General features: G+C 41.0%; 1 long non-coding RNA gene across 1 annotated transcript in view, besides 1 other annotated feature; it reads right to left on the minus strand.

The window, feature by feature from the left end:
* The window catches only part of LOC401478 (uncharacterized), a 273,872-nt gene extending 262,159 nt beyond the window's left edge, over positions 1-11,713 (minus strand). Inside the window, exon 1 of the long non-coding RNA NR_161374.1 lies at positions 11,225-11,713. This is a non-coding gene — a long non-coding RNA (uncharacterized LOC401478). The remainder of the gene's footprint in view (positions 1-11,224) is intronic.
* Positions 9,278-9,925: an enhancer, noted in NCBI's record as "OCT4-NANOG hESC enhancer chr8:139093353-139094000 (GRCh37/hg19 assembly coordinates)". NCBI's record gives its function as "activates a minimal SCP1, AML or CMV promoter by ChIP-STARR-seq in primed H9 embryonic stem cells {active_cell/tissue: H9 hESC(primed)}" and the evidence as "EXISTENCE:reporter gene assay evidence [ECO:0000049][PMID:30033119]".
* Positions 11,714-12,719: the final 1,006 nt, after the last annotated feature.

A 12,719-nucleotide genomic window follows, 5' to 3' on the forward strand; every position in this document is an offset into this window, starting at 1 on the left:
ACATGCTCCTACACAGGTGGCACAACTCTATGGTACTACACACACACATGCACACACATAGACCTATAAATAAATAGTACAAGTAAAATGGGTGATATCTGAATAAGATTAATGGACTGTATCAGCGTCATGGCTATGACGGTGTACTTTTGTTTTAAAAGATGTTACCACTGGAGGGAGCTGAATCATGGCTATGATATGGCACTATAGTTTTACAAGATGTTACCATTGACGGAAGCCGAATAAAGGGTAGATAGGGTATCTTTGCATTATTTCTTAAAACTACATAGGAGTCCACATTGATAAAAAATTTAATGAAAAAATGGAAATTTCCTAAACCAACCTGTTCTGAAACTCCTATTCGAAAATGTATATGAAATGGAACCTAATTAAACTAAAGAGCACAGCAAATGAAACTATCCACAAAATAAACAACCTACAGAATGGCAGAAAATATTTGCAAACTATAAATCTGACAAAAGTCTAATATCCACATTCTATAAGGAATGTAAATAATTGAAGATGCAAAAAATGACCCCATTCAAAAATTAGCAAAAGACATGGACAGACTCTTCTCAATAGAAGACATATAAGCAGCCAACACACAAATGAAAAAAGGTTCAACATTGCTAGCATCAAATAAATGCAAATCAAAACCCCAATAAGAAACCATCTCACACCACTCAGAATGGCTATTACTAAAAAGTCAGAAAACAACAGACACTGGTGAGGCTGCAGAAAAAATGGGAATGCTTATCCTGTTGATAGGAATGTAAATTAGTTCAGCCACTGTGGAAAGCAGTTTGGAGATTTCTCAAAGAATTGAAAAGAGAACTACCATTAAACTTAGCAATCTCATTACTGGGTACATATCCAAGATAAAATGAATCATTCTATCAAAAAGACACATGCACTTGTGTGTTCATCACAGCACTATTAACAATAGCAAAGCCATAGAACAAACCTAGGTGCCTATGAATGGTGGATTGGATAAAGAAAATGTAGCACATATACACCATGCAATACCACCTACCCATAAAAAAAGAATAAAATCATGTTTTTTTGCAGCAACATGGATGCAGCTGGAGGCCATTATCTTAAGTGAATTAACGAAGGAACGGAAAACCAAGAAAGGCATGTTCTCACTTATAAGTGGGAGCTAAGCATTGAGTACTCAAGGACATAAAGATGGCAAAAGTACACCCTGGGGACTACTAGAGAGGGGAGGGAGTGAGGGGGGCAAGGGTTGAAAAACTAATTGTTGGGCACTACACTCACCACCTGGGTAATGGGATCATTTGTATCTCAAACCTCTGCATCACGAAATATACCCATGTAGCAAACCTGTGCATGTACTCCCTGAATCTAAAATAAAAGCTGAAATTATAAAATAAAAATAGAACAATCGATAAAAAAAGAAAAAACTATATGAATCCATTTTGTATGCTTCAAAATATTTTTGGAGTATAAGAAACCATTGCTGTTGCTTTCATTGAGACTCAAGCTCTAGTGTGCTTACTCCCTTTTAATTTGATTAAACAATCCGGCTTTGTGTGTTCTTGGATAAATTGCCCTGCCTCTCCCTACAACGACAGAGAATAATCAAAATAGATAACCCTTCCAGTTTCCTTGTACAGGTATAGCCAAGAAAACCTTTGGAGCCTGAAGGGAGCTTAGGCTGGGTTGGGTCTCAAATGATTTTTAAGCCTGAGATGAATAATTTTCTACCACCCAGATCCTGCCTTTTGAATGACTGGATGGAAGGCGGTTTTATCTCAGAAATCACCACTAAAGAACATATTCATGTACCCAAACACCACCTGCTCCCTAAAAACCTATTGAAATAAAAAATAAATCTTTAACAAATGTAGAAATGTATTATAGGGACTACAAGAGAATTAAATATCATCCTGGACTGAATGGGGCTCCTTATCAGAATCCTGGCCTTAAAGAATCTTGCTTTCTTCAGTTTCTGAGAAAGGAGAGGTCGGGAAAGTCTAGGTCCTGGTACAAAAAGGTGCCTTTGGAGGAAATGCAAATCTCATACCAGCCATGCCAAGAATACTACTTGCTCACACATTTCAAACACGGTTTTTGGACCACCCAGAGAAAGTATTGAAAAATTTTTATAAAGAGCATGAGAAGTCTCTCACATTCTCTCCTTTCTCAAAAAAGAATGATGCTAATTTCTAACGTGTAACTGCAAACGTCTTTGTGAGACTACATTAAAGAGATCAAATGTGAGCGTGAGCACGAAGACTAAAAGAGAGAGAACACATTGCTTTCCTCACAGCATTGAACAGTTCACACACTGTCTTCTTTTCCCCTTTCAAGCTTTTAAAATCTCAACTTCTCTGTTCTATTTCTACCACTGCACATAGTAGCTGGTCCATGAAGCTCCCATTTGACGTCCTACATTTGTGCTATAGAAATGGCATGCATTTTTCAAAACAATAATGACTTTGTAAGAAACATTTAGTAATCAAAGGGAAAAGTCTTTATAGAAGATCCCTTATTTTAAGAATTACCCCTTTAGGGGTTTAACCAAATGTTAGAATATTCTATCTTGAATTCCTGCATATATATTCAGAAGGCAGTTGAAAGGTGTTCTTCTAGGTTTGAAAACCAGCAAGTGAGAATGCTGGCAGAGACAAAGAGTAATTCTTAACTGATATTTATAGCCTTCACTTATAGAGATTTACAAAGAACTTTCAACTACACATTCATATTTGCTATCATAGTATCTCTGTGAGAAATAAGCTGTTATTATGACTTTAATAAATAAGGACTCCAGTGGTACAGCGAGATAGGTTTGTCCAAGTCCGTTAACTACTACAGGGTAAGCCACTGAACTGAACTCACTTCTGACTCAAAGTTCCTTCATGTATGCACTTAAATTTGATTAGCATTTGTTATTTATTATTATTTACTGGATGCTCTAGGACTCAGTCCTGGAAATAAAAATAGCACATACTAGCTGGTGGTTTTGATTGCTCTCCAAGAACCAGACATTCTGTTAAGTGTCTTGCACACGTTATCTCATTCTGGATTGAGTTATGAGACATGATTTTACCCATTTTTATTAATGAAGCAGCCATGGTGAGAATTTAAAACTGTGGACAAAGTAGTGTTTAAAACTGGCTAAGCCTGGATGTTAATTTGCTTCGGCCCAGTTTTGAAATGCATGCTTCTGCCACTGTGACATAGCCCCTGCCTGAAGAAGCCCTTCAGTGGGAGAGAGAGCTGCATAGATACAGAATTAGAGAATTGTGTGCTAGGGGCTATCAGAATGATGACCAATAGGCTTTGGAGTAAGTCTCTATCTATGCCCGGGATTTTGATCTGCATATGTATTTTTTAAAAAATAGAACAAAGAACTTAGAACTTGAATCCAGACTCTCTGCTTCTCTCATGAGTCTTTAAAGAAAGGAGTCAAACATTCTTTGTGTTGTGGTTTCTTGCCCATAGACTACCCATGTGATTTTTAACATGGTGTCTGCTTTTAAAAGCTGTTTTCTTTCTAAGCATCTGAGCACAATGAATTGCTTATAAGAAAGGCTGGTTGACAGCCTCTCCCTCGAGAAGCTTTCACCATGCCACTTGGGAACCATGTGGAGCCTCATCCACAGGTCCCACAGTCATATGGAGAGCCTCCCATCACCCCCATGACTTTATTTATTTATTTTTTGAGACAGAGTCTCACTCTGTCGCCCAGGCTGAAGTGCAGTGGCGCCATCTCAGCTCACTGCAACCTCTGCCTCCCAGGTTCAAGCAATTCTCCTGCATCAGCCTCCTGAGTAGCTGGAATTACAAGCGCATGCCACCACAGCAGCTAATTTTTTTGTATTTTTAGTAAAGACGGGTTTTGCCATGTTGGCCAGGCTGGTCTCAAACTCCTGATCTCAGGTGATCTGCCCGCCTCAGCCTCCCAGAGTGCTGGGATTACAGGCGTGAGCCACCACGCTCTGCCTTCCTCGTGACTTTATAATACTCACCTTGCCTTTTCCCTTCCTTTCTAAAGACAAAACATAAACTTTATTTCCTTGATCTGCTAAATAGTCCAGACAGCCTTTTTTCCACTTTCTGCCTGGCCTAATTTAAAGCGGATGAGGAGACATTTGCTCCAAGAGATGAACAGAAGCCCAAGAATCTCTTAGAGGAAAAACAGCAGGGACATAATACACTTTTTAGAAAGTTTGAGGACTTCATTTATACAAATTTTAGTAGGAGTCAACAGAGTTTTGTGACTGCACACACTCCAAGTGAAGGGAGGGTTTCGGCAGCACTGAGAAGATGATGATGTCTGGACAGAAGCTGTGATGTTGATAATGTCAGTCTTCTCCTACTTGGAATATTACATTTTGTTTTAAATTCTTTTTTTTTTTCCTATTTTTAAGCATATTCATTGAATAATATTTCAATTAAGGTTAATTTTCAGAGAATGGAATTGTCTCCTGCTAGTTGAAGGGACTTATTAGAGTACTAAGCAGATCACTGAATTGTTGGAATGGCTGAAGAAACAGACTACTAAAGCGAGCTTCCAGGAAGGGGCCCCAAAGCTCAGTGCAAAACTAGCTCGCCAGGTGCTGCTGCTCCTTGGGGATGAGGAGGCTTTAGTATCAGAACATTGCCTGCCAATCGGGGAAGCCACCTGCAAACCACCAGTTCCACAATCAGGCCACAATCAGCATCAAATAAATAGATGCCTTTCACCTTATCCTAGTTCTGAATTCAAAGAAATGCGTAATTGGAATGCTCTAAATCACATCTAGAAACCTAGTAGCAAGTACAGTTGAGAAAACCTAGCAAATAACTTAAGTTTCTGACCCCTGTGAGACAAGAATACATACAGGGAGTTTGGAATGAACATCAATGAATTCAGTCTATAGTATTCACAATAAACAACTTTTGTTTTTTCCTCTGATAGCATCCAAAACTTTTTTTAAAAAGCTGAGAACACATTATTTACTTTTTTCTCTATTTACCCATTAAAATTTTACTATGCAACACCTAAAACATATAATAATGTATAAATAATAAAGAAACAAAGTTCATCTATCTAACAAGGGACTTATTCATGCTAATCTTGAAAAGGGTCAACAGCATTCTGTGCTGCACATACATTCACCCCAAGTGTGAAAAAGTAATAGCCACAGTGAGATACTAGAGAAGTTCTACGAAAGAAAATGCAAAGGCTGCCCCCTCCTCCACTCTCCCCGTATGGATCTGAGGGCAGCACATTCCAGGCTTTTCTCAGACACCTGTTGAGAAGGAAAAGGCAGGCTGGTGTTTGGAAACAGATGTTCTCCAGCATTCAGAGCTCCCACCTCAGGTTCAGCAGGCTCCAAGATGGTCATTATGCAAGATTTTTCATTATAATTTAGAAAGTAGAAAATCATAGAACTTCTTTCATATTTCACATGTTTTTATTTTTCAGAAATGTACCAGCAGCATCTAGTCCTTCAACTGGCTTTTCCCTCCTGTTGATGAGATGGTGAGCTTCTTACCAATACACACGTTTCCCCGTGTCTAACGTGCTAAGTGGGCTCACACAAATGTCAGGTCTGGACTTTTCTGGGCATCTCCATGATATCCTCATTCAGAGATTGAGACAATTCAGAGGTACAGAAAAGTATTGAAGAAAGTAATTGTTCTAGAGGAGTATTTAGAAAAGGCCACCACAAGCTAAGATGATTGTGAACTTGGTGTTGAGGCACCAGCTAGACTAGTAGATGTGCAGGTTATGAAAAAAGAAAATCAACTCGTGTACAGCTTGGTTATATCTTTCTCTATGGTCCTTCTTGTTAGGGGGGAAACCTTTGTTCCAGCTTATGATTCCATGTAGAGGGCCTACTTAGTAAAACATCCCCTCTTCCCATGCCCCACTCACCCCTCCTAGAGTGAGTGCAAAATGGTGATTCCAGTGACTAAGGTAAGGAAAACCTCTACCCTTAGCCCAGGATTCAAGGTTCAAGAGAAAGACGCACACCATGGTTAAGCAGGTACTCAGGGCTCATTCAGCATACAATTGATTTGGAGTTTAATGCAATAGGAATATTTCAAGACTCCCTGGCTGATAGCCCAAAGTGTTTAATGTACCCTGAGCCTTGATTCCTGACAAGGAAAAACTGGCTTAGAATCAGGGTTGGTGTACCCACTACAAGGCTAGACAGGGCAGGAGAGACAAAGGGAGTGTGAGCCAGACCCAGTGTTTGAACATCAGATATTGGACTGTTGTGCGTCACTTATTCTCACTCTTATGCCAGAGTGGCAGTGGGATTTGCATTGTCTGGGAGTAAGGAGGATCCTTTGCTAGTTCAGAACCTGAGCTTTTTTTACCTTGTGGCTTTGGACAAGTCACTACACATTCCTAAGCTTCATCTTTTCCAGAAGAAATGATCAGCACAGGCAGGCCGTGTATATGCAGGACCTTCCTTACCATTGAAAGGTCCTTGGAAATAATTAGAATTCTTTGTATTGGAAGTAGAAAAAAAGAAGTCTGATGTGACATAAGCAAGAAGGTGTGTTGGCTCATGGAACTGGAAAACCCAAGTGATGAATTTGACTGCAGAGACCATTTGAGTGTTAATCTGAGGCAGCTTTTGGATCTGCTTCCTCTGATTGGCTTCATTCTCAGGCTCTGCCTCATAGTCCCTAGCATGGTAGACTCTGCATTGTCAAGTAGAAGTTGTACAGGTTAGACTATGTTGCCATTGTCATCACATCCTGTCTGATGGATGAGATTGAATCAAGGCTCACTCCTGAAGCAATCGCCAGTGTAATGTGCTGCGCTTACTCATATATTCTACCATTAGGACTAGAGCCACTCCACAAATAAAAATTAGAGCTGTTGCCTGAAGGAGACAACTGTGTAGGAGAAGAAAGAGAAGAAGGAGAAAGACTGTGTAGAGTAGCACTCTCCAAAGGAGAGTAAGGTGAGCCACATACGTAATTTTAAACTTTCTGATAGACACATTTTTAAAAGTAAAAATGAACAAGTAAAATTAATTTCAACAATATATTCTATTTAACTTTTCCTTTTCATTTCCACAGATATTATGGTGGATTATGTTTAACTTAATATGTCTAAAATGTGATTTTTAACATGTGATCAATATAAACATTATTCGCAGGATAGTACATTTTTTCACACTATGTCTCTGAAATTCAGTGTGTGTTTTACACTTACAGAATATCTCAATTTCAACATATTTTAAGGGTTCCATAAACACATGTTGCTACCATATTAGGTAGTACCAGATTAGGACAAAAAATAACCACTGCTCTATTTCTTCATACCTACTACCACATTGGATGCTTACAACCGAGTAGTTAGGGTGAACCAGTGTTTCACAAGTTGAATGACTAGCTTAAGAAACAGAGGGATCAAAACTCAACACTAGATATCTTGAATTCAAATATAAGTTTTAAGGCCAATGAGGTATACGCTATATGTTCTACAAAAAGAGGTTGGAGTAGACTTTTTAGATTTTTATTGAAGTAACAGAAGCTCCTTGCATCAGGCCAAGTAGCCAGCTTGTAACCCAAACCCTGCTCATTCCACCCAACTTATACCAGAAGATCTCTCATTAGTTCCTGTAGGACCCAGTCTCAGGGCCCCTTGGCTACCCCGTCCTGAATTTGTACTCCAGCTTTAATAAGTGAACTCTCTATGGCAGAGACTCTACCTCAACCCCAGTTAGGGTCTTTACAGTCTCTTGTTTTTTGTGCAAATCTCTGTCTGGGTAATTGGTAATCTGTCTAATAAACATCTCCTTCTAGAACTCATTCTTCAATTTCTTCTCTTGCTTACCCTTTTTCTCGCCCCTGGAATTCTGTTTTTGTAACATGGGCCCTCCCACTTACAAGGAGACTGTACAGATTTTTTCTGCCTTAAGGGAACAATCTCACCCTTCATGGATCTCCCATCAAAAGAATTCTACATTCCTATTATCGGTTAGGTAATGGGTTACTTGTGTGGGATTTTCTTGCTAAACATGACCAGAGATTGTGCCTACTCCTCTGGTCATGACTGGGCACCTCAACTGATATTGCCCTTCACCCACCCTGGCAATGAATGGGGGTAATTTCTGTCCCATTAATCACAAATATATATGATACTAAATGTATTACTATCAGCCATATTCTTTAGAGATGATATTCTGAATTTAAGGGACTCTTGGATTTTAGAAACTCTGGATTTAGGAAAAGAAATGAGTGTACGAGGATGACCATTTATTAGCACTTACTATTTGTCAAGATAAATACTCTACATTTATGATTTAATGCAATAGTCGCTAAGCTCCTGAAATTGCAATAATTATCCATATTTTAAAGATGAAGAAACCGTGTATCCAAAAGTTCAATAAAATTGCCAGAAATCTCAGTCTAATAAGTAATAGATGGGAGATCAAAACCCAGGCCGGTGCAGACTGCCCCCTTCTCCCTCCCTCTGTTTGCTCTGTGTTTGCCTCTTGACCACACAGTCCCTTTAAAAGAGCCAATTAAAACAAAACAAAGTAACACTGAGGACTAAGAATCCAAGGCATTTGTGCTGCCCAAGTTCCATCGTTCAATATTCTTTTGGGATGGAGAAGAAATAAAACCAAATAAAGAATTATGTGCCTTTCAAAAAATTCAATTGGCAAACTTTGAGTTTCATCTAAACAATTCATTTGGTGTTTATTGAGAATTATACTTCTCCTATCTATTTAATCATTCATGACCACAATGCTATAATACTTGATGGCCCCAAGCAGGATTCCTCTCCTTGGTTTTTATACTTCACATGAAATTCAAGCTCCCTTTTCACGTAGCAAAATAACAGAGAGTATCTGAACAAAAGTGCTGTAGGAACCAGGAATCCAAAGTTTTTTTCACTTTGAGACTCATTGTGTTCCTGCACAGACTCACACACAATAGAATTCCAGATACTTTTAATAAATAGAATACTCCATTCTTTTGAAGAGCAATGATGTCTGTCTTGTGATCACCTCATCCTGCTATGGCATTCAACAAAACCAAATCATCTTCGTGAGGAAAGAGTTGGCTTCTAATCTCCAGCATCATTATGATTCATGAATATGAGGGACACTATAAAGTCATCTGTAAATGTTTCTAGCACATGGCATGTACTGGATAAATGTTAGGCTGCCTCCTTCCTATTAACACTCTTAAGGCCACATACAATTGTCCATTTAGGTAGAAAATGACCTCCAAGTTTTGCTCACACATTCTCTAATGTCTATATTAATTACAACATCTTGAAGATATTTGTTTCTGTTTCTAAAGTGCATTAACATTCAGCATCCCATTCTGACAAACATCCCTGAGAGTCAGGCAGTACCGAAATAACATCTATCTTTACACAAAAAGACAAAGGTGAAGAGAGGCCAACAGATTTGTCAAAAGTAGATTTGTTCATCTGAATACAGAAGCTCAGTGAATTGGCTCACTTAATGCCCATCCCATGGCTCACCTGGTTTACAAAGGAAAGAAAGCTAAAAACTACATTTCCCGGAGGTGCTGGTTAGAGACATTAACACTTACGGGAAGTTTTGTTTGGAATTTACCCCTGGGGAGAGTGGTAGGGTATAAAAGGCACCCATTCGACCTGCGAGGATTGTAACAAAAGCAGCATAATCCTGAATCTTGCTAATAGGGTTGGGCTTTTTAATTCACAGTTTCCTGACCTTGGTAAAAGCAGAAACTCCCTGGATAGTTCATTCTGCCTTGTGACTTTGGAAGTCATTCCAGGAAGCTCAGAGCCTGCTGTGCAGCCCTGTCAGTGTTTAGAGGTATCCTTGCATTTAATACAATTTCTTTCTGCTTAATCATCTGAAGGGAGTTCTGCTAGTTGCAACTGAGAACACTGACTGGAGCTTATGGTTAAACCAATGATCAAAATCAGATTTTATTGACTCCATGAAAAAATAAAATATTTTATATAATGGCAAAACTTAAAGAGGTAGGATAGTATAAATGGAAGGAAAAAAATAGGCCTTCGAGTTACTTATACCTGGACTCAAACCTCAACTCTGCTACTTGTGGACATGGATAAGGGTTACCAACATGGCCAGTAAGTGAAAGTTTACTGGAAGTTTTTGTGAAAAATGAGTCATGAGGTTGATGCCAGGCAAGTTTTCAGGTCAAAGAGAAGATGTGGTTATTGACATCAGGTAAGTGCAGGGTCTTAGTAGAAATAAAACTACACAAGTAACTTTCCATATGTCCTAGAAAATGCTTGTATAAAAATCAGTATAAAAGTAGGGGCCAAGCACTGTGGCTCACACCTGTAATACCAGCACTTTGGGAGGCCAAGGCAGGCGGATCACCTGAGCTCAGGAGTTTGAGACCAGCCTGGCCAACATAGTGAAATCCCATGTTTTTAGCTCTACTAAAGCTACAAAAATTAGTTAGGTGTGGTAGTGGGCGCTTGTAATCCCAGCTACTCTTGAGGCTGAGGCAGAAGAATGGCTTGAACCCGGGAGACGGGGAGGTTGCAGTGAGCCAAGATCATGCCATTGCACTCCAGCCTGCGTGACAAGAGTGAGACTCTGTCTCAAAAAAAAAAAAAAAGTAGGAAAAGCTATGATGTTAATGTAATGCCCACCCTTGTTTTTACTAACCCTGTTTTTAGACTCTCCCTTTTCCTTTAATCACCTAGCCTTGTTTCCACCTGAACTGACTCTCCCTTGGCTAAGAGAGCCAGACAGACTCCATCTTGCCTCTTTCACTGGCAGCCCCTTCCTCAAGGACTTAATTTGTGCAAGCTGACTCCCAGCACATCCAAGAATGCAGTTAACTGATGAGATACTGTGGCCAGCAATATCCGTAATTCCCAGGAATTCGTCCAATTGATAACACCCAAAGCCCCGCGTCTATCACCTTGTAATAGTCTTAAAGCCCCTGCACCTGGAACTGTTTACTTTCCTGTAACCGTTTATCCTTTTAACTTTTTTGCCTACTTTATTTCTGTAAAATTGTTTTAACTAGACCCCCCTTCCCTTCTCTAAACTAAAGTATAAAAGAAAATCTAGCCCCTTCTTCGGGGCCGAGAGAACTTTGAGCGTTAGCCGTCTCTTGGCCGCCGGCTAAATAAACGGACTCTTAATTCGTCTCAAAGTGTGGCATTTTCTCTAACTCGCTCAGGTACAACATTATGAATATCACAGAAAAAAATAGGACTTCTGGGGCCTGAAAATATGACTGAGAGGCACTGTACCTTGTCTTCATGCAAGTTGCCGACTTGTTGGAATTCAGTCCAATTTTCAGGAGAGGGACTGTTGCTCTTATAAACAGAGGTAGTAAAGTGCAGCAGGGAGCAGTTCCAGGCGCAGCTGCAGAGAAAAAAGTTCAAAGAGAACTCGGTAGCCTCTTGGAGGTTTCTATGCTGTTTATCTTTTTTCAAGCAAAGGGAAGTAAAAAGCAATAGGAGAACTTTCTTTAGGCCACTGTTTCCATGAGATCGCATTCCTCCACACGAGGGCTCTTCAAAAAATTGAAGATGGTCTATTTTACAATTAAAAATTAACTTATTAGGTTAAGTGTTTATAATTCCTTTAAGAATTTCCTTGGAGTAAGCAGATTGAGAAACTTCCCCACTTTTCAACTCAGGTGTTTTCCACTCATAATTTTCTTTCAAAATGGATTCCGTGAATTTTCTTAGGCCAAATTGTCACCTCCTTTTTAATGATACCAGGCAGAAAGAATTGTAGCCCTGTTTCAAGAAATGTACTCTCGAGCTTGCAGTGAGCCGAGATCGCGCCACTGCACTCCAGCCTGGGCGACAAAGCGAGACTCCATCTCAAAAAAAAAAAAAGAAATGTACTCTCAAGCAAGGCCTGCCTGGTTTTATTCTTCACACTCCTTCCCCAGGGCTTCCAGGATTCTGAAAATTTTTCCGTCTTCAGTTCCAAGGGCATATTTATCTCTCAAGACAAGTAACCATTTGGCTCATCTGAGTTCTGAAACTTAGTCCCCATTTGCATGATAACATTTTTTGCAGGGCTGTTGGAGGAGAAAGTGGGATAATACATCGGCAGTAGTTAAAGCCCACTTAATATGTGAGATAATTCTGGCTCTTCACTGAAAACCATTTCCTCTTATAGTTAGGTATCACTGAGAGGTGACAGCGTGCTGGCAGTCCTCAAAGCCGTCGGTCGCTCTCGGCGCCTCCTCTGCCTGGGCTTCCACTTTGGCGGCACTTGAGGAGCCCTTCAGCCCACCGCTGCACTGTAGAAGCCCCTTTCTGGGCTGGCCAAGGCCGGAGCCCGCTCCCTCAGCTTGCAGGGAGGTGTGGATGGAGAGGCGCGAGCGGGAACCGGGGCTGCGCGCGGCGCTTACGAGCCAGCTGGAGTTCCGGGTGGGCGTGGGCTTGGCGGGCCCCGCACTTGGAGCAGCCGGCCGGCCCTGCCGGCCCCGGGCAATGAGGGGCTTAGCACCCGGGCCAGCGGCTACCGAGGGTGTACTGGGTCCCCCAGCAGTGCCAGCCCACCGGCGCTGCGCTCGATTTCTCGTAGGGCCTTAGCTGCCTTCCCGCGGGGCAGGGCTCGGGACCTGCAGCCCGCCATGCCTGAGCCTCCCACCCGCTCCGTGGGCTCCTGTGCCGCCGGAGCCTGCCTGACGAGCGCCGCCCCCTGCTCCATGGCGCCAAGTCCCATCAACCACCCAAGGGCTGAGGAGTGCAGGCGCACGGCGCGGGACTGGCAGGCAGCTCC

Source organism: Homo sapiens, chromosome 8 (assembly GCF_000001405.40).
Source record: "Homo sapiens chromosome 8, GRCh38.p14 Primary Assembly".
Lineage (NCBI taxonomy): Eukaryota > Metazoa > Chordata > Mammalia > Primates > Hominidae > Homo > Homo sapiens.